Source organism: Homo sapiens, chromosome 19 (genome assembly GCF_000001405.40).
Source record: "Homo sapiens chromosome 19, GRCh38.p14 Primary Assembly".
NCBI lineage: Eukaryota > Metazoa > Chordata > Mammalia > Primates > Hominidae > Homo > Homo sapiens.
This window is the reverse complement of record NC_000019.10, coordinates 30,379,358-30,399,299: the sequence shown is the minus strand read 5'-3', so window position 1 is coordinate 30,399,299 and position 19,942 is coordinate 30,379,358. Positions and strand designations below refer to the sequence as shown.

The window sequence follows — 19,942 nt, the reverse complement described above, 5'->3', positions numbered from 1 at the left end:
ACAAAGAACTTAAACAAAATTACAAGAAAAAAAAACAACCCCATGAAAAAGTGGGTGAAGGATATGAACAGACACTTCTCGAAAGAAGACATTTATGCAGCTGACAAACATATGAAAAAAAGCTCATCATCACTGGTCATCAGAGAAATGCAAATCAAAACCACAATGAGATACCATCTCACGCCAGTTAGAATGGCAATCATTAAAAAGTCAGGAAACAACACACGTTAGAGAGCATGTGGAGAAATAGGAATGCTTTTACACTGTTGGTGGGAGTGTAAATTAGTTCAATCATTGTGGAAGACAGTGTGGCGATTCCTCAAGGATCTAGAACTAGAAATCCCATTTGACCCAGCAATCCCACTACTGGATATACACCCAAAGGATTATAAATCATTCTACTATAAAGAGACATGCACACATATGTTTATTGCAGCACTATTCACAATAGCAAAGACTTGGAACCAACCCAAATGCCCATCAATGATAGACTGGATAAAGAAAATGTGGCACATATACACCATGGAATACTATGCAGCCATAAAAAAGGATAATTTCATGTCCTTTGCAGGGACATGGATGATCATGTCCTTTGCAGGGACATGGATGAAGCTGAAAACCATCATTCTCAGCAAACTAACAGAAGAACAGAAAACCAAACACCGCATGTTCTCACTCATAAGTGGGAGCTGAACAATGAGAACACATGGACACAGGGAGGGGAACATCACACACTGGGGCCTGTCCGGGATTGCGAGGCTAGGGGAGGGATAGCATTAGGAGAAATATCTCATGCAGGTGACGAGTTGATGGGTGCAGCAAACCACCATGGCGTGTGTATACCTATGTAACAAAACTGCACATTCTGCACATGTACCCTATAACTTAAACTATAATTTAAAAAAAAAAAAGAAAAAGAAAAAGCCAATGCCAAAGGTCATATACCATATGGTTCCATTTATACAACATTCCCAAATTGAGAAAATTAAACAGATGGGTAGGCACCAAGGGCTAGGGATGGTTGGGGCACGGAGGGGATATAACTGGAAATGGGTAGATGAGGGAGATCTTGTGGTGAAGAGCACTTCTGTGTCATAATAAAGGCAGTGGTTACGGAATCTACAGACGTGATCAAATGACACAGAAGTGGCCAGGTACATTGTAGTGATGTTGGTTTCCTGCTTTTGCTATTATGCAGCACTACAGTTATCGAAGATGCAAGCAATGGGGAAAACCAAAGACCTCTCCATACTATCTTTGCAACTTCTTATCAATCTATAATTATTTCAAAATTTAAAAGGGAAAAAGAAACTAAAGAATTAATGTTTAAAATCATGGGCTATTTTCTGTTTGTACTTTCTAACATCCTAGACCTGGTCTGTTTTGTGAGCTCTTAAATTTGCCAATCAGTCATTCTTTCTGTTAGGGTATTCTCTCTTTCTCTCTCTCCTTCTATCTCTCTCATGCCTATTTATTTCTGAACACTGGTTACTTTCTTGTAGGGATGAGGGTCTTTTCAGACCCCCTTGTCCAAGCTCTAATACCTTGTAATCATTAAGGGGTCTTATTGTTGAGTTTGGCTTCTAGTACTGAAATCAAATTAACAGACGCCAATTAACATTTAAATAAACGAGGCAGATTAGTAAAGAATCCACAGAACACCAAACTGTAAGGAGTATGGTGGAAATGGCAATATAAAACAAAGAAGTAAAAGCTGAGTTTTTTTAAGCTTTTTGTCTTGAGATAATTGTAGATTCACACTCAGTTGTAAGAAATAACTGAGGAATCTTGTCTACTCATCACCCAGTTTCTCCCAATAGTAATATCCTGAATAATGATAGATAGTTTGGCATCACAGCCAGGAAACTAACGTTGATACATCCCTCCAGCTTTACCCAGACTTCACCAGTTTCACATGCACTCATCTGTGAGTGTGGTGTGTGTATTTAGTTCTTTGCAATTTTAACACATGTAGATTTGTTTGACAAAATGAACAAAAGATGAGGGCTAGGTGGAGAGTCCTCATGCCAGAGAGAGTCTTTCCAGCAAAATTCTCCCATTTATAATGCAAAGGTGGCTTTAGACATTGAACACCATCTGTTAACGAATCATGAGATTAAGAACACAAACTCAGGGACAGGTACAGCTTTTCCTATCACCTGAGTCTCAAGCCACAACCATTGTCACCCCAGCCTCTATTATCCAAGACCTGAAGTAACAAGTTCTAACAAGTATTAAGTGCCCAGGTTTGCAGCCATAGAGTTATAGGATGTGGAAGGGCCAACTGGGAGCTCTGGGCTCTAGCAAAAAGCTGGAGTGTAAGAAGAGGTTTGCAGGAAGGTGGAGGTGCCTAGCTGGCCTGAGGTCAGGAAGCCCTTTAAAAGAGAGCCTGCTTGGCTGGGCACGGTGGTTCACGCCTGTAATCCCAGCACTTTGGGAGGCCAAGGCGGGCAGATCACCTGAGGTCAGGAGTTCGAGACGAGCCTGGCCAGCATGGTGAAACCCCGTCTCTACTAAAAATACAAAAATTAGCCAGGCATGGTGGTGCATGCCTGTAATCTCAGCTACTCGGGAGACTGAGGCAGGAGAATCACTTGAACCTGGCGGCGGGGCAGAGGTTGCAGTGAGCCGAGATCATGCCACTACAGTGGCACTCCAGCCTGGGCGACAGAGAGAGACTTTGTCTCAAAAAAAAAAAAAAAAAAAAGAGAGAGCCCTCTCATAGCAAATGGAGGCAGGACACATCTGTAGAAAGCTCCTCCTGTCCTTAGAATCACTTCCTTACTCTCTTCCCTGAAACTGCTACACTGTAACAATTGGCAGGTCTGCATCAAGCTTCTCAAAGAAAGATGGATGGAAGAGACAAATCTAAAGAAATTGCCAAAAGCAAAAGTAAACCCCAAATTCCCAGAAAGTCAAATTGATCCAGAAAATATAAGTCAAGTTGGACACTTCCTTTTCAATTGGTTATTTTATAGACTCTAGAACACAGATCATGTGATCTCTTATTTGAAAGAGATTCTCCATTCCAAATTCCCATCTACAGGCAAAATTATCCCATCAGGAGATGGAGAGAGGTACCAATCAACCCTCTGCTTAAATAAAAGGCTGGGATTTTTGGTGACTGGCATTTGTTATTTGGTGAGAAGTCATTTTTTTTACAACATAATGAAGTAGGCAGAGCAGAGAGGAGTTTTAGGGCAGGGAGAAGATTCTGTATGATACTGCAATGGTGGATACATGTCATGATACATTTGTCAGAACCCACAGAATGTACGCCAAGTGCACCCTAATGTAAACATGGACTTCGGGTGATATTGACGTGTCAATGTAGTTCATCAGTGGTAACAATTGTACTGATGTAGTGGGGGATGTTAATAGCGAGGAATTGTGGGGATGAGCCTTTGTACTTCCCACTCAATTTTGCTGCAAACCTAAAACTGCTCTTAAAAAATCAAGTTTATTAACTTAAAAAACATAATGAAAACAAAAATGTAACTGACCTAGTTATCATAAGTCTTATATTCAAAACAAAGCTTAACTTGCATTAAAGTGATAAAAAGTCCTTACTAAACAAAAATTATGGAGAAAGGTAGATCTTTTGCTGCCTCTCAGACTCAGCCACATGAAGAGGTACACAGCTATTAAGGTTGCATTTCAACATGGCAGAAGCAAAGCTTGTTGTCAGAAGAGAACATGCCACTAAAATCCAATCACTGAGACATTTAGGCGCAACATATGGAACCTCCCCAGAAAAGGCATCCTGGTGGCCCTTCTTTGGCAGATAAACCAAGGTCTGGGTGACCCTGAGTCATCTTCCTGCAGGAGGCACAGTTCTTAACCAATCACTCTGACACATTCAGACCAGCATTCTACATCCACCAGCAGGGCTGGGTTTTAACGTTAAACTGCAACTGGTCCACCCCAAACCAGATGTGTGTCTTAGGTGTTTGACTGTAGATACTGCAAACAAAACAACAAAATGCCACTTCTATGTTCTAGTTATTGGACATCCCCTTTATGGTACCCAAAATGACACCTTGTCTGTTTGTAGACTATCTGATTTTAGAGTCATAAACTACCTGTCCTGTCAGTTCCTTCTTTTATCACTTTTCATTAATCTTGTACCATAGATAAGATGAAAATTGGTAGCAATTAAGATTAATCTAAGCATTGTCCCTTTGTACACAACGAAAGCCCTAAGAAGACTAGAACTTCATTCAGTACAATGACATGAAGCACAAATGCATTAATGCAAATAAGGATTACACTAAACCCTGAATACACATTACATTTATTTTCAGGAGTAACCGAGCTCACAAGCTGAAAGGGGAAGCAGATGTGCAAGACTCCGAAACCAGTGCTCCAAAACCAGTGTTAAGGGGTTGACCCCTTAAACAACCCTTCACATGGCATGATGGCTTACCCACTGCTTTTCAGGTAAAGCCTAAAATCCTTCATCAAGGCCTCCATGGTGTCACCTCAACTTTTCTCTTGAGCTCAGCTCAGTGTGCAGCTTACTTGCACACTAGATTGTGTAAGTCCAGTTCATAAATGGTGATTCTCCCTTGGAAAGGTGAGGCTGAACTGGGAGTAGAAAAGCAACTGCTCATGTGTAATTTCCAGACTGTACTATTTACAGGTGGGGCAAACAATTACCACCAGAGATGGAAGAAGACAGGGCCATGTCACTGGTTTCTTCCTCTCAGTGTGGAGGGCATGGTGGTGCATAGAATGGGGAAGGGACGCTGAAGAAGGAGCTTCCTCTGGTGCAGCCGAGCAGACGTAAGAGATGCACCTGGCCCAGTCCTACACCTGGGTATGTGTGTGTTGTGGGGTAGGAGGGTAGCTGAGAAGTGGGAGTGGGGAGAGGGCTGTTTAGGGAAATGAGCATTTGCAAATGCAAATCTAGTAATTACATACCCACACATGCACTATCATAGTTAGATACCTAACTACCCATTTGCACACACAATTACCCAATGTGTAAGGGTTCATCACGGATAAGTAGGCAATAGGTGGGCACACCTGTTGGACTGGCTTCAGAAAATTTCAGCAATTCTATAACACAAGAAGGAGAAAAGGAAAGTCGTTTAAGGAAAAGTCTTGGACCACCAATTAAGGAACCATCCAAGGGGGTCCCGTGTGTTCATTGTTACAGGTCTTGTGGCCTCCAGTGTGAGTCACTGAGGCTTGCTCACTGATCTGATAGAGAGCTGCCCTTTTTCCATCTGCACGTGCCCTTCCCTACTGTCTCTGCCTGCCCATCTAGCCCTGCAGACTCTGACTCCTTCAGCTTCCATCTCTGGACCAAAGGCAGCTCTTCCCACACATGTTTCACATCTGCTTTCTCTCTATCTCCTCCACCACTGCCCTGTCCAACACCACCAAACACCCAGGCTTCCATTCTGCCCACATTGCCCCTTAAACAACATTCACATTACATGATGGCTTTACCCACTGCTTTTCAGATAAAGCCTAAAATCCTTCATCAAGGCCTCTGTGGCGTCGCCTCAATCTTTCTCTCCAGCTCAGCTCACAGCTTCCCCTTCCTCTGTGCCTCTAGCCTCACTCTGCCCACCTTTCAGCCTTCATCTTCACCAAGTTCCATCTGCCACAGGGTCTGTGCACTTGCTGTTCCCTCTGCCTGGAACGCTCTTCCCTGAGATGTTTCCATGTAACCCCTGCCTGAGAATGTGACGCTGCCCCTAGCCTAGGACCAGAGGCTCCGTGAGCTCCAGACACCTCTCCTTAAGGCACCTGCCAGACTAATGATTTCACATTGGTTCATGTGATTCTCTGACGAACATCTGCCCCTCTCTCCAGACTGTAAGCTCCATAAAGAGAGGGATCAAGTCTATTTCACTCATCATCCTATCTGCAGGGCACAGTAGGTCTTCAATAAACTCTTTGGAATGAGTGAATTAATCAGTGAGCATAGGAAGAAATGAATGAATCAGACCCTCTTCTTGGATGGCTTTGCATGTGCTTCTTTTGATCAGATCAGCAAACAAGCCTCAGTGACTCATATGTATCCTGGTAGTTCTCATTTCCTCTCCCCCGCCCCCAACCCCATCCTACCGCATTAAACTGTGAGCAGGAACCTCAACACAGAAATGAAGTTGCCTAAGTGGTTGTTGAGTGAATGAATGAGTGGATGGACGAATAAATGATACAGGGGATTGTTCTTGTTCCTCAGCATCTTGGACTCACATAATTCCCCAGCGCGCATGACTGCTCCCCAGAGACAGCTTCACACAGTAGGTGTCGTTAATATTTGCTGACCAGATAAATGAATGAATGCTATCATCTTGTGCCATACAGATCATACAGAAGTGGTTTCCAAAATGCCATTGAGTATTCAGCATTCACACAGTCCTACAGATCCACAGCAGTGGTTTTATTTGAAGTTACCAAGCAATTTAAAAAATTAAATGAGCGTGCACCCTGTCATATTTTGATCTAACTATGCACTAATTTTCAGGACAGAGAAAAAACAGTTAATTACTGTTTTGCACCACAGTCCTCTCCTTCCTTCTACTGTAATGTAATGTAGTCAAATAAATAAGTTACTCGTGCAATTTTCATCTCTAGAAATAAAACAGCACTCATAACTCTTTGTTTGGGAGCTTAATTTTAGCTCACTTAAGAGCAGTTATCTGATGTACTTCTAAGAACAGAGACACCCTAGAAAAAATGGAAATCACACAGAAAGAAGGAGGACTGGCTCAGAAAATGCCATGTCTCAGGCTCAGTTGGGAGGCCGTGGCATTCAGGAGTTGGCAGCTCGGAGTAACCAGCTAACCGCAGATAATTGCTGCCGGGCGGTGGTGCAGGGCACGGATTCTACATCCCAGCCCTTCCAACCCTTCTCTGGCTACCCTGGCGTTGTCTCCACATGGGCATGAACTTCATAAGGCTAAATTCTGTGGTCTCCTTAATGGAATCCCTTTGGCGGCTGCTCCTAACCTCCCTTCATATTTTAGATTCAACCGCACAATCTTTCTGTCCCTACCTCCCTCGCCCCAGGGGATCTGTGGTTTCCTACTGGTTTCCTGCAAATTCTAGAGGAGACCCATGAGAGCGCTGGGCCTCCCCTAGGAAGGACTGGAATTCCCAAGGGAAAGGGTGTGGCTGAGAGTCCTCCCAGGGCTGTGAAAGAGGAGACACTCACTCCCTTCTCCCCTCAGAGTCCTGGAAGCTGAGCACCTCCCCTCTCCTCTGGCCCCCAGCTCCGGACATCCGAGAACCGCAACCTAGAATCCATGCACACTTGCTTCATCGGTCCTAAAATACACTTTTTTTGGCGGGGGTGAAGGGGGGAGGATATCCTTATTCAAAGTGGAGGCTAGAGAGATGTCTAAGACGTACTGCATTAGCTAAATTAGTACTGATTTGTCCTGGGGCACAATTACAAGGTTTAAGGTTACAGTACCAGGAGTTTGAGAGGCAATTATAATTCAAAGACAGCTAGCTAAGGGGTGGCTGGGAGTTACAATCAGAACAAGGGAAAGTTTAGTGGAAGATGCTGTTTGTCAGTGAATTTGAAAGCATGTTTTTCTTTTTCTGTGTGTGCCTTTACCTTTTTCTCTCTTTCTCTTGGTCTTTCTCAGATCGCTCTGTGGTCTATCCTGGACTTTATCATTCTTTACAATTAAGCGCCAGGAATAAAGTTCACCCTGAACAAAAGCAGTTTTTTTGATTGTTTGTTTGTTTGTTTTTTGAGACAGACTTTCACTCTTGTTGCCCAGGCTGGAGTGCAATGGTGCGATCTCAGCTCACTGCAACCTCCGCCTCCCGGCTTCAAGAGATTCTCTTGCCTCAGCCTCCCAAGTAGCTGAGATTACAGGCATGCACCACCATGCCCGGCTATTTTTTTGTATTTAGTAGAGATGGGGTTTCACGATGTTGGTCAGACCAGTCTCAAACTCCTGACCTCAGATGATCGACCCACCTCGGCCTCCCAAAGTGCTGGGATTACAGGTGTGCACCACTGCAGCCAGCCAGCAAAAGCAGTTTAAAGTCAAGTCTACTGGGACAGATGTGGGGCAGAAGGTGGGCCCTTTGGACCTGGGATCAGAAATGGGCAAGACATCCTGTGGTATTGTGTTTTGGAATTCCTCAGGGACAAAGTGGCAGTGAGTGATTTGGCCGTGTTGGGAGGGATTCCAGGCCTGCTCCTAACCACCTTCCCAGGTATGTGCAGTGCAAGAGCTGGGACTCTGCCTCTGGCTCTGATCACAGGAGAATTTCCAGGCACCAGCATGGGCTTCTGCAGGCAAAACTTGGTCCCTAGTGAATAAATATTAATGCTGCCAGCACTCAAGGGCACGTAGCCCCCGAGGTTTATAAAGTGCTGTGTTGAGAAGATTCATAACACTCTCAAGTGGGGATTTCTGTTTATTCTGACATTGGAATAGATGCTCCCAAGGTCCCAGGCTGGGTTTGAGATCCCCATTGGTGCCAACGGGGGCTGAGTGTAAACATGGGGGCGGGGGCTGGCGGTGATGCCAAGAGCTCCGGCCTCCCAGTCACTTGATTAGAATCCTCCAGTAAGCTCACGGGGCTGCCTGCCTCCTGCTCTGCCAGTGGGGATCCCTGACTTTGCCATGGACTGTTTCTAAGGGCTACAGAGGACACTCCAGGCTCCGATAGATTTGGAAACATAAAAGCACCTTCAGACCTCAAGAAGACTGGATTTCCAGCTCTCCGGCAGAATGTGGGATTTGCTCTCAAAGAGCCTGGCTAGGAAGATTGGCATGGCCAAGTGGGGACCAGCATAGGGGCTGGGGAGCCTGTACTCACTTCAGCCCCTCCAGCCTTTCCCTTTGGAGAGTTCAACTCCACTTTCTAGCACTGAAACTCCCCTGCAGCTGCCTGCCACCCTGGTCCCACCTCACCCTAAAGAGTTTTATTTAATGCTACTCTCACTTGGGCTTCCTTTTCTTCTCATCTAGACCTTTTTCAGCATGCGAGCTTATTAACAGAGAAAGAGGAGAAGTCCCTAGCATTTTTTTATTTTATAAGTTCCAGTTTATACTAAGGGCAGCTGAACTAAAGATTAAAGTAAAGGAAAAAAAGCAAATTAGCAGGCTTCTCTTCTCTTCTCTCTACTCAACACAACCTTAACCCCCCTGCAGCTAACCCCTAGGAAGTAGATTCAGGCAACAGTAAGTGCTTAGGAAGGAGTAAAACCTTCCCCTGCACAGCACCTGCCTCAATGGAGATGGAGTCCTTCCTTGAACACCTCTGAGGTCCCCCATTGAATATCTACCAAGATATCTTTGAGGAGGGAAATCCCTGGGAGGAGTTGGGATCCCAGCAGCCATTTGAGAAATCTTAGGTAAAACATATCAGAAACAGCAAGCCTTCTTTCCTCTCTAATTCTGCTGGAAAAATCTTTTTCTAGAGACCTTAGCAGCTCAAGTTGGAAAATGTCACTGCGCCACACTCAGCAGCCAAGTGGCCCTTCTGGAAGATAGGGAGCTGGAGGGGCCCACAGCAGCTCTCTGCTATCTGCTTGGGCCAGCAGGATGCTATTAGGCGGGACAGAAATGGAGTCCCTAGAAAAAGAATCTGCTAGGATTCAGGAGCCAAGGGCACCACCACTTCTTCACCCAAAGGACATTTTCTGGGCCAGTACCTTCAAGGGTTCTGGTCTTGGCCTTCGCTTAGCCCAGTCTGGAACTTTCTCATGAATGAGAAAGGCAGAGAATGGCCCATGATGAGTGTCACCATAATACAGCCCCTGGGGACAAATCATTACTAGTCGTATCTGTACTGAACAGGTTAAGAGATTTCTGAGCTGTGAAGCATGGACAAGATTTTTTAAAAATCCATGGGTGAGGAGCATGTATCTTGAGCAAAAAGGGAATTTTTTTTTACAAGGGTCTCGTGTCCAGAGTAGAGGAGAGGCAAGGTCCCATCTATGGTCGCTAGATTTTTCAAGGGCACTAAGATAACCCTCTATGCAAGTGCTCGCCCTCCCAGGAAACCTCTCCCCAAATGTACCCTATACACGAGTATCACCAACCACATGGTTGGCCTTCCGCATACCCCCTTTGAGTAGAAAAGCTGCGCAAACCAGAACTCTACTTGGAAATTGGAGAACCAGGCCTGGCTTCGTGGAGGCACGTGGAACGTGTGCGGACTGGGTGAACTCACACTAGGGGGGTCCCACACCCAAGGAAAGGAAACAGGCAGGCCTGACACTCAGTCTTGTGTTCTCTGGCTCATGGTAAGAGGAGCCTGGTAAATCAAGAGAGATGGGGCATGGGACTCCCTCCTTCCTCACAGGTCGTCAAGCCTTTACACCTCCTGAAGGGGCTACACTTGCTTTGTAGGGGAGAATTCCAGGAAATAGAGCCCTCTGCAGTTGGTCAGCTCACCCTACATAAATGGCCATTGCCAGCTGTCTGAATGAGATGTAGAAGGGCCCAGCACATGATTTTAAGCCTGGAAAGTGGAGGAAGCCCATAAAGGAATCTCTCTCTGTCTTCCCATTGGCTACTATAAATTAACCAAGAAAGAAGGAATCTTACACTCCATCCTAATTCTGAAAATCATAGCATTTGTTTCTAAAGAACTGGTCTCTTGATAACAGCACATTCAGCTTCTCCCAACAGCCTTGGCATGCAAGAAAACACCGTGAGGGTTTAGACCTACAACACTGGCTTGCCCTGGAAAATTCCCCCAAGTGAAGAAGTTGAAGAAGCCCTGCCAAGCACAGGAGGGACGAGGCGATCGTGGAGGGCTCTGCACCTGGATGGCAAGCCCCGGGCATGGCCACCGCTGGGTGGTCTCTGTGGGGTGGAACTCCCACCTTCCAGTGGACCATGAGGGCTGGGGCAATAAACCCTACAAAGTGGTCACAATGGCTGGAGGAGCGGGGTCGCCCCCATTAAGGCTTCTGGAGGGTGCCTCCAAGCCCCCTGCCTAACCCCACCGAGTATCCATAATTGTAGAAAGATCTAACTTGATTTAGGCAAAGTCACATGACCTCCCTCAACAGCACCAAGACCCAGAAAGGAAATCCATACGGATACTTTGACCGAGGTCCCAGGCCAAGGCGATCCATGGTCTTCTTTATCTTAACTCAGGTTGACTGAAGTAGGCCACCGTTCATTCTGACTCACTCCCCCGGGAAATCTTATAGACACACCCTTGTCTTTTCTTTTCCCCTCGTGTTTCTCCCAGTACTTATATCCTGGCCAAATCAGCACCTCTTACAGCCTCAAAACCTGACCTCAAAATCTGAGAGCCACAGGAGATTACATGGGAAGCAGGAAGAAGACCTCTAAGGGGCTCCACCTATGGACCATCCTATCTACACAGACACCCAGCTGGTGCCTGGCTCATCACACAGCCCCCTCCAGGGCCCAAAGCCCACTGACCAACCAGCCTGGACACCTGCGTCTCGAGAACATTCCCCAACCCCATCCCTCAAGCAGGGTCTAAGTCCCCTCTCTAGGCTGGGCTTTCCAAGCCTCTTCCCTGATATCCTGTGCAGTAGGGTAAGTAGTTTCCAAGCGATGGAGTGGAGAGGGCCCTGCCTTCCAGCCAGGTCCCCTGGGGACAAGGACCACATATTCCTCCAGCCATTAGTGTCTGCAGCCTCTCTGCAAACAGGGATTAAGCAACAAATGTCCCTTTCTGTTGAGCATTTGACCTTATCTCAAGTGTGTCATCAGCTTCGAGAGTCATGGCTTATGTCAGTGTGGGTGAAAAACGGCCTCCACGGCTTCCAAATTGGGATCGCTCTGCTCTCAGCAGCAGATGTAAGCCAAGCTCGTGGTAAGTGGCAATAAATGGCTTGGAAAGAGGCAGTGGGTCCCTCACCGCCGTCAACCATGGGAGGGCAGGTTCTGGGCATCTCTCAAGCATGGCCCCTGCATCAGCCTCCCTGAATGGGGTCTTTGGGGCCCAGCCCACAGCAACCAGGGGCTGCAGAAGTCTCGGGTCCCCACGGTCCTGCTCAGAGCAAGATTCAAAGTCAGGCTGCAACCAGCGACAGCTCTGTTACAGCCCCTTTTGCAAATTTTCCTTTGCAAGTATCAGCTAAGCACCTGCCTTTCTCCCCACATCCAGGCCTCCCTCTGGTACCATACTGAGGCCTGGACAGGTTCTAGCCAAGGGACATTGGAGCCCATGAGTGAGGGCAGATCTTCAGCATGAAAACGGTGCTTCATCTTTGACCAAACACCTTTTCTCTGTGTGTCTCCACTGACACTTCAATCACACATCAAACAGACCGACTCTCGTCTGCACATTGCTTCCTCTAGCATCTTTTTACCAGAATCTTAAACACACAGATGTCAATGTGTTATCTTAAAAATTGCTGATAGGCTGTGACTTTGGATAAGCCCTCGGAAGCAGTCCCCTGCTGTCCATGCCGGCGACCCGCAGACAAGCACTGCCACTGTTTCCGCTGTAATAGAAGTGTTCTGTGAAACGCAGGGCTAATTTCCAAGTGTCTTTCACCAAAAATCGGTTCCTGAAAGCCACAAATAAATACCTAATACCTATAGCCCTGGCTGTGCGCCAGGCCCTGCCCTAGGGACCTACAGATATTGAGGTTGGCAAATGTAGACCAAAGACCCACTACATGTCAGAAGAGACAAGAGGCCAGGCATCATGGCTCACGCCTATAATCCCAACATTTTGGGAGGCCAAGGCAGGAGGATTGCTCGAGCTCTGGAGTTCAAGAACAGCCTGGGGAACATACTGAGACCCCCTCTCTACCAAACATTTAAAATATAGCCAGGCATTGTGGCATGCATCTGTAGTACCAGCTACTTGAGAGGCTGAGGTAGGAGGATCACCTGAGCCCAGAGAGGTCGACTCTTCAGTGACCCATGATCACTCCACTGCACTCCAGCCTGGGTGACAGAGTGAGACCCTATCTCAAAAAAGGAGGTAAGAGACAGGAGGGGCAGACATTCATAAAGAGAGACTGTAGAGAGACAATAACATGGTCAGAAGAGTCACAGGTAACAGAGATGAAAGCTCAGCTGAGTGAGGGGCTAACTCCACTCAGAGCAGCGTGAGAATTGGCTTCTGTAGTGAGGTGAGTTTTCAGCTGGCTCTTGCAGGATGAAAGGGAGTTTTCTGGAGTGGAGATGAAGGAGAAAAAGTGGCTGGCTTTCTAAGACAGCGTAGGCAAAGGGCTGAGGGATGGGAGGATGTTGCCTGAGATGAAGCTGGGAAGGTGGGATGGGACCAGTATTGAGGGGCCTTGGATGCAACACCAGCTGACATCAGAATGTTCTGGGCCACATTTTTTAAAATCGAAGTTTAAGTTAGGAGTGAGACAGACGGACATTGCCACATGATCCCTGATGTCCATCTGCCAGCTCAGTGATCCAGGCACTGCCACTCCTTCAGATAACTCCATGGGGTCCCACTAAGCACCAGATGCTCTATGTGGCTGTGGCTCCACCCAGCTGGGGACCCAAAGCAGCATCACTGAAGGGACCTCCAGGCAGTGCGCACATGCAGATTTCAGAAGACAGGAGATTCATGATGGAGGCGGAGTTGCACCTGGGGTAAACCATCAAGTCTGAAAAGTTGGGGAGAAGTAGGTGGAATATGGGTAGAAGGAATAATAAAAGCCAAGACGCAGGGGTGGACAGGTGTGTCCTGCCCATTCCCTGGGAGATGGCAGCTTGTCATGCAGGGTCTGGAAGAAGGAGAAGGATGCCTGGGGAGATGCCTTGAATGTCAAGTCCGGATGTTAACCTTTATCCTGCAGGTGACAAGGACTGGAACCAGTGGGTGAAGCAGGGAAGAGCAATGAGGACAAGGCCACAGAGGACAGTCAGGAACTCCAGGAGAAGAGAGGAAGCACTGCAACCAGGGTAACGGTCGTTACCCAGCCCACAGGGAGACACCCGTCAGGCAGCTGTCCCCCCAGTGCAACCAGCACTGCTTCCCAGGGCACCCAGGCCCCAGGCAGGTGGCCCCTGGTCCCGCTTCAGCCACCACAACCCACACTGACCCCCATCGGGTCATCACCTCCCTCAGTCTCTGGGCGGTTGCTAGACAAACTCCACCACCGGCTCTTCCTTCCTCATGTCCATTTCCACCCGATTTCAGGGCTGCTCCTGCTCCTGGAAAGGCCCTTCCTACCCTGAATGAAAGAGAAGGATGCCTGGGGCAGCTGCTGCAGGGAAGGCCTCAAACATCAAGTCCGGGTGTTAGACCTTTATCCTGCAGGTGACAAGGACTGGCAACCAATGGGAGGTGGAGCTGGGTTTTTTGTTTGCTTTTTTTTTTGTTTTAGAGACAATATCTCACTCTGTCGCCCAGGCTGGAGGGCAGTGACGTGATCAAACTGCAGCCTCGACTGCCTGGGCTCAAGGGATCCTCCCACCTCAGCCTCCTGAGTAGCTGGGATTACAGGCTATGCCACCACGCCTGGCTAATTATTTTATTTTTGTGGAGATAGTGTCTTGCTCTGTTGCCCAGGCTAGTCTCAAACTCCTGGCCTTAAGCAATCCTCCCACCTTGGCCTCCCAAAGCACTGAGATTAAAGATGTAAGCCACCATGCCTGGCTGAACACATATTTTCTAAACACCATTTGGTACCCCTATTCCAAGCCATTCCTCCTCTCTCAACCCTCAGGGTGCAAGAAGTGGATGACCTTTGACCCTCATGCTCCACAGGGGTTTCTGGTTTCCATCCAATGCAGGAAGAAGAATCCTGTGTCCAGACCCACATCGATGCCTGAAGGTCCCATGCAACCAAAGCAGGGTCCCACCCAGGACATGATTCAATAGGAAAAGCACTGGGTGTCCACTTTGTGCCAGCCCACTGGGATCGTGCATCCACAAGAGGGTCTTGGCCATGACACCTTCTTCGCCACCAGGCCCCCAGCATTAACACAGCCTGTGGTCTGCCATGGGTCCTTAATCAATATTTTGGGAAAGAAAGAAAGGAAGGAAGGGAAGGGAAGGGGAGGGGAGGGGAGGGGAGGGGAGGGGAAGGGAGGGGAGGGGAGGGGAAGGAAAGGGAAGGGAGGAAAGGAAAGAAAGAAAGAAGAAAGGGAGGGAGGGAGGAAAGAAGGAAGGGAGGGAGGGAGGGAGGGAGGGAGGATGGAAGGAAGGAAGGAAGGAGAAAGAAAGAAAGAAGGAAACGAAAGAAAGAAAGAAAGAAAGAAAGAAAGAAAGAAAGAAAGAAAGAAAGAAAGAAAGAAAGAAAGAGAAAGAGGTGGGCAGAAGAAGAGAGGATAAAGGGGAGGAGTAAGTGAGTAGCAGACCGTGGGGCCACAGGCATGCAGGTGGTGTATGTGGTTTAGGCTGTGTCCACATCCAGCTGGCAGAGTGGAAGAAGGAAGGGAAGGGGAGGGGAGGGGAGGGGAGGGAAGGGAAGGGAAGGGAAGGGAAAGGAAGAAAGGAAAGAAAGAAAGAAGGAAGGGAGGGAGGGGGGAGGAAGGAAGGAAGGAAGGAAGGAAGGAAGGAAGGAAAGAAGGAGAAAGAAAGAAAGAGAGAAAGAAAGAGAAAAGAAAGAAAAGAAAGAAAGAAAGAAAAGAAAGAAAGAAAGAGAAAGAAAGAAAGAGAAAGAAAGAAAGAAAGAAAGAAAGAAAGAAAGAAAGAAAGAGAAAGAAAAGAAAGGAAGGAAGAAAGGAAGAAAGAAAGAGAAAGAGAGAAAGAAAGGAAGGAAGAAAGGAAGAAAGAAAGAGAAAGAGAGAAAGAAAGGAAGGAAGGTGGGCAGAAGAAGAGAGGATAAAGGGGAGGAGTAAGTGAGTAGCAGGCCCTGGGCCACAGGCATGCAGGTGTGTACGTGGTTTAGGCTGTGTCCACATCCAGCTAGCAGAGTGGTTGGTGGGGTGCAGCCACCTCCACAGGGCCTCCTGGAACTTGTCAGCAACTCTTTCTCAGTTGTTCACCATCTGAACTGGGCAGACCCCAGACCTTAGCAAGGTACAGATCTACCTTCCTGGATACAGGAGGCATAGTCTTGAAAACCTGAGTTGCATTTGTTTTTTTTGTTTGTTTGTTTCTTTGTTTTTGAGACAGAGTCTCATTCTGCTGCCCAGGCTGGAGTGCAGTGGCATGGTCTCAGCTCACTGCAACCTCCGCCTCCTGGGTTCAAGCAATTCTCCTGCCTCAGCCTCCCGAGTAGCTGGGATTACAGGTGCCCAGCACCATGCCCAGCTAAGTTTTATACATTTCGTAGAGACTGGGTTTCACCATGTTAACCAGACTGGTCTCGAACTCCCGACCTCAGGTGATCCGCCCACCTTGACCTTCCAAAGTGCTGGGCTTGCAGGCGTGGACCACCACACCTGCCACGTTTGTTGTTTTTAGGAGGAGAAAAAGAAATATATTTGATTTTAATTGTGCAAGACTATCTGGGCTAATTTTAAGGATTTCTATGGGAAATTCTTTTGCACAAAGAAGAGTAGCTCCCTGGTTTATGTTTGCTAAATGATAATTTCCTATACCAAATTTCCTTCACACAGTTAACACCTGTGTGCTTCAGAAGTCAGAGCCGCCCACCGCAGGAATTTGTACACCTGCCCTTCCCTCCATCCTCATCACAACCATGTAGATCACATGGGATCCAGTGGATTCCACCTCTGCGGTAGCTTCTGCCAAGCCAAGCCATACTTCCTTCCCTCACTATCGGCCTTTGTCTGGGTGATGCATTAGTAACTTACAAGTGGGACCAAAAACACGCAAATACTTCTAGTTTTCACACAGAACTTCCTTCTTAGAAAAAAAAAAAATTCCCTGCCCACATCCCATCCACCAAAAGAATGCTTAATCAATGAAAAAATTAACTGTATCCCTAAATAAAGAAGTGCAGATATTTTCTTTACAGTGCTTTATTAATTTGTAAATACCATTATTGAATTTTTGAAAGTTCTAATTTAAATGTATTGATCTATTATTGTTTTGTGGATTTTCCACCCAAATGTCTTGGAGAAAAAGCACGGGAGGCACTGGATAGACCATGCAGTTGCCGAAACTTCATCAAACCATCAAATAAGAGCTTTGCACAGATGATGCACAAGGACTTACAAGGTGTCCAGACCACTAAGCTGACATGTTTATGCTTAATTCAAATCGGACAACTTTCTTCTAATAACTGTGTCTGTCGCTAGCCATAACACGGAAATGGGACATGGATGCAGAGCTGTCTCTTTGCAGGCGGGGGCAGCAGGGAGGGGAGGTAGCAATCCGTGGAAAAGAAGTGAACACATCAGCCAAAATGGGAGCCAAAGAAGGTCATTTTTACCCAAAATGTCTCACATGGCCATTTTCATTGAGACTTAAACCAGGGAATGGAAAGCATTCTCTTCTCTCTGCTTGTTCTCTTCCAAAACAAGAATTTAAATTAAGAACTTTTTGCTGGCTTCCCCTGTAGCAAACTTCATGGGTATTTATTTAGCAATGCTTTGATACTTCAAGGATATTAGGATGGGGACACACAGGCCAAGAGATGAAATACACAGAACCACATAGATCGCTCCGGTCAGCTCCACCTCCCTGCAGACTCTGAACGCTTCTGTCCCTTGCACTGTCCCCTGCCATGGAAAGAAAGCCTGTTTACAACGTTCCCCATCAACCACCCCGCATCCATACCCTTTGAGGCTTCCTATGGCCCTTGGAATTAGCCCCTTGCCCCAGCCTGCAATGGTGCAAAGGCTCTGGGACCTGGGGCCATTATGGCCTAATTTCCCATCTCACCTCCCTGGTCCCTCATGCTCCAGCCCCAAATCCTCCAGCGTGCCAGGCCTGTTCCTTCCTTGGGACCTGTGCCCTGCAAGATCCCACTGTCTGGAAGCCTGGCTCCATCTTCCCATGCCAGTCCCAGATCAAGCGTCACTTCCTTAGAGAGGCCTCCCAAGACCACCCCATCTGAATGAGGCACCCTGTCCCTGCCACATTCCACTTTTTTCCAGTGGGAATAATCCTGTTCATGTATGAGGTGACTGTGTAGCCTCTATCCACCCCTGCCTTCTCCCTCCCCATAACTTAAACAAGGAACTTGCCTGTCACCCAGTCCCCAGCACAGTGCCTGGCACATAGGAGATGCAAAGGAGCATTGATCTAATCAAGAGATATTAGCTCCCTCTGGGGGCATGGTTTGTGCTGATTATTAGATATATATAGACCAGGCATGGTGGTGGCTCACACCTGTAATCCCAGTGCTTTGGTAGGCTGAAGTAGGAGGATAGCTTGAGGCCAGGAGTTCAAGACCAACTTGGGCAACATAGCAAGACCCTGTCTCTACAAAAAAATTTTAAAATTAGCTGAGTATGGTGGTGCATGCCTGCAGTCCCAGCTACTCAGGAGGCTGAGGCCAGAGGATCACCTGAGCCCAGGAGTTGGAGGCTGCAGTGAGCGGTGATTGCATGGCTGCACTCCAGCCTGGGTGACAGAGTGAGCCCCTGTCTCTAAAATTAAAAATTAAAAATATGTAACAATATATAAATTTAGATAAATAAATTTATTTTAAAATAAATAAGAAACACGCATCGGGCACCTGGGTGGACTCAGGACCATTCCTTGCTGAGAAGCAGCCAGACCTGAGTCTTCTGGAAAATGCCACACACTCCTCCTTCAGGAAGCTGCACTTCTAAGGGAAATCAGAACACAGCTTCCTCCCTCTCACTGCCTTAAGGCTAAGCATCGAAGGGCAAGAGATTTCCTTCTGGTCTGAGAGGGCTCACATCTGATGCCACAGCTGGGTTTTCCTGCAGAGTTTGAAACAAATCAGTTGAATCACTTTGGAATTACAGAGTGCTAAAAAAGTTAACATTTATGACTCTTCTGTGTCTCCCCTCTTTTTTGGCCACTGATAACTCAGATTCACGTGGCCTCACAGTGTCTCAGGGCCGAGCCGTGGGTTCTCCGGGGGTGCTCGTGGGCCTGGCTGGGTTTAGCATGGTCTGGGCCATGCACTGCAGGGTGGCCCGTCTCCAACACTGACACCACGGCTCCCATTTGCAAGGACGAAGTTTCCTGCCAACGTTTAACCCCATGTGTGAATTTCTATGCAGGCAACAAGTAGTGCCTAAGGCTGGCTAATTAGGGGGTGCAATTGTCTAATTGGGCCATGTGAAAATGGGACAAAAGGCTGACGGCTGGCAAAAAAAAAAATCTGTTTTCACAGAAAGGCCCTCCCTGAAGAATGCACTAGGACTTGGGCTATATTTTGCCTTGACTTCTTCTGTTGGGGTCTTCAGCTCAGCTCCCTGCTGGAGCTGCTCTGTGCAGGAAACACGAAGAGTGGCCATGTCCTCGGCGGTGGTGGCCTGGGCTCAGAAGTCCCTGCTCCATCACTGGCCAGCTCTGTGACATCTGGCAAATTTTTACCCCTCTGGATCTGAGCTCTCTCATTCACAGATCAAAAGCCTCAGCTCCTTCGCCAGGACTTCCCCAGTGAAGATGAAATTAGGCAAGGTAAGTAGGGCACTTAGCACAGTGCCTGGCACAGAGAAAGCTCCTGAGTGACGGGCAGTCACAGGAGGTCCCAGGCATGCCTTGGTGGCTTTGCAAAGCTGCATCAGCACCCCTTACAGCATCCCCTGCAGCCAGTGGAATGAGTACTCCCACCTATGGCATCTCTTCCCTTCATCCACCCTGCACCACCCCTGAGCAGCCTACTTGGGCATCGTCCCACCTCCCACCGCATACCCACTACACCCCCCAGCCCTTCTGCTTGTCTACCCTCAAGCCCCACCCCTCCTTTTCTGGTCCTCACCCATGATCCTCTCCACCCTTCACCCCTTCCACCTGTCAGATCTCCTGGCAACGATGATACATCCCTGCCCCACCCCATCCTCCTTATGGCGACAGGAATCAACCCCACAGAAAGCATTCAACACACCCCCATGACGCACTGGGGTTGCAGAGGCTCAGTGGAGAAGACATCAGCCAGGAGTCCATTTTGCCAGACTTGGGAGCCATGACTGACGCTCAAAGAATCAAG

The 19,942-nt window shown here is 47.6% G+C and overlaps 1 protein-coding gene across 46 annotated transcripts in view, besides 1 other annotated feature; it reads right to left on the bottom strand.

The window, feature by feature from the left end:
• Window positions 1-19,942, bottom strand: part of ZNF536 (zinc finger protein 536) — a 487,995-nt gene that overhangs the window by 314,287 nt on the left and 153,766 nt on the right. The gene's annotated exons all lie outside the window — the stretch shown is intronic.
• Window positions 13,847-14,347: an enhancer, noted in NCBI's record as "H3K4me1 hESC enhancer chr19:30875860-30876360 (GRCh37/hg19 assembly coordinates)". NCBI's record gives its function as "activates a minimal SCP1, AML or CMV promoter by ChIP-STARR-seq in primed H9 embryonic stem cells {active_cell/tissue: H9 hESC(primed)}" and the evidence as "EXISTENCE:reporter gene assay evidence [ECO:0000049][PMID:30033119]".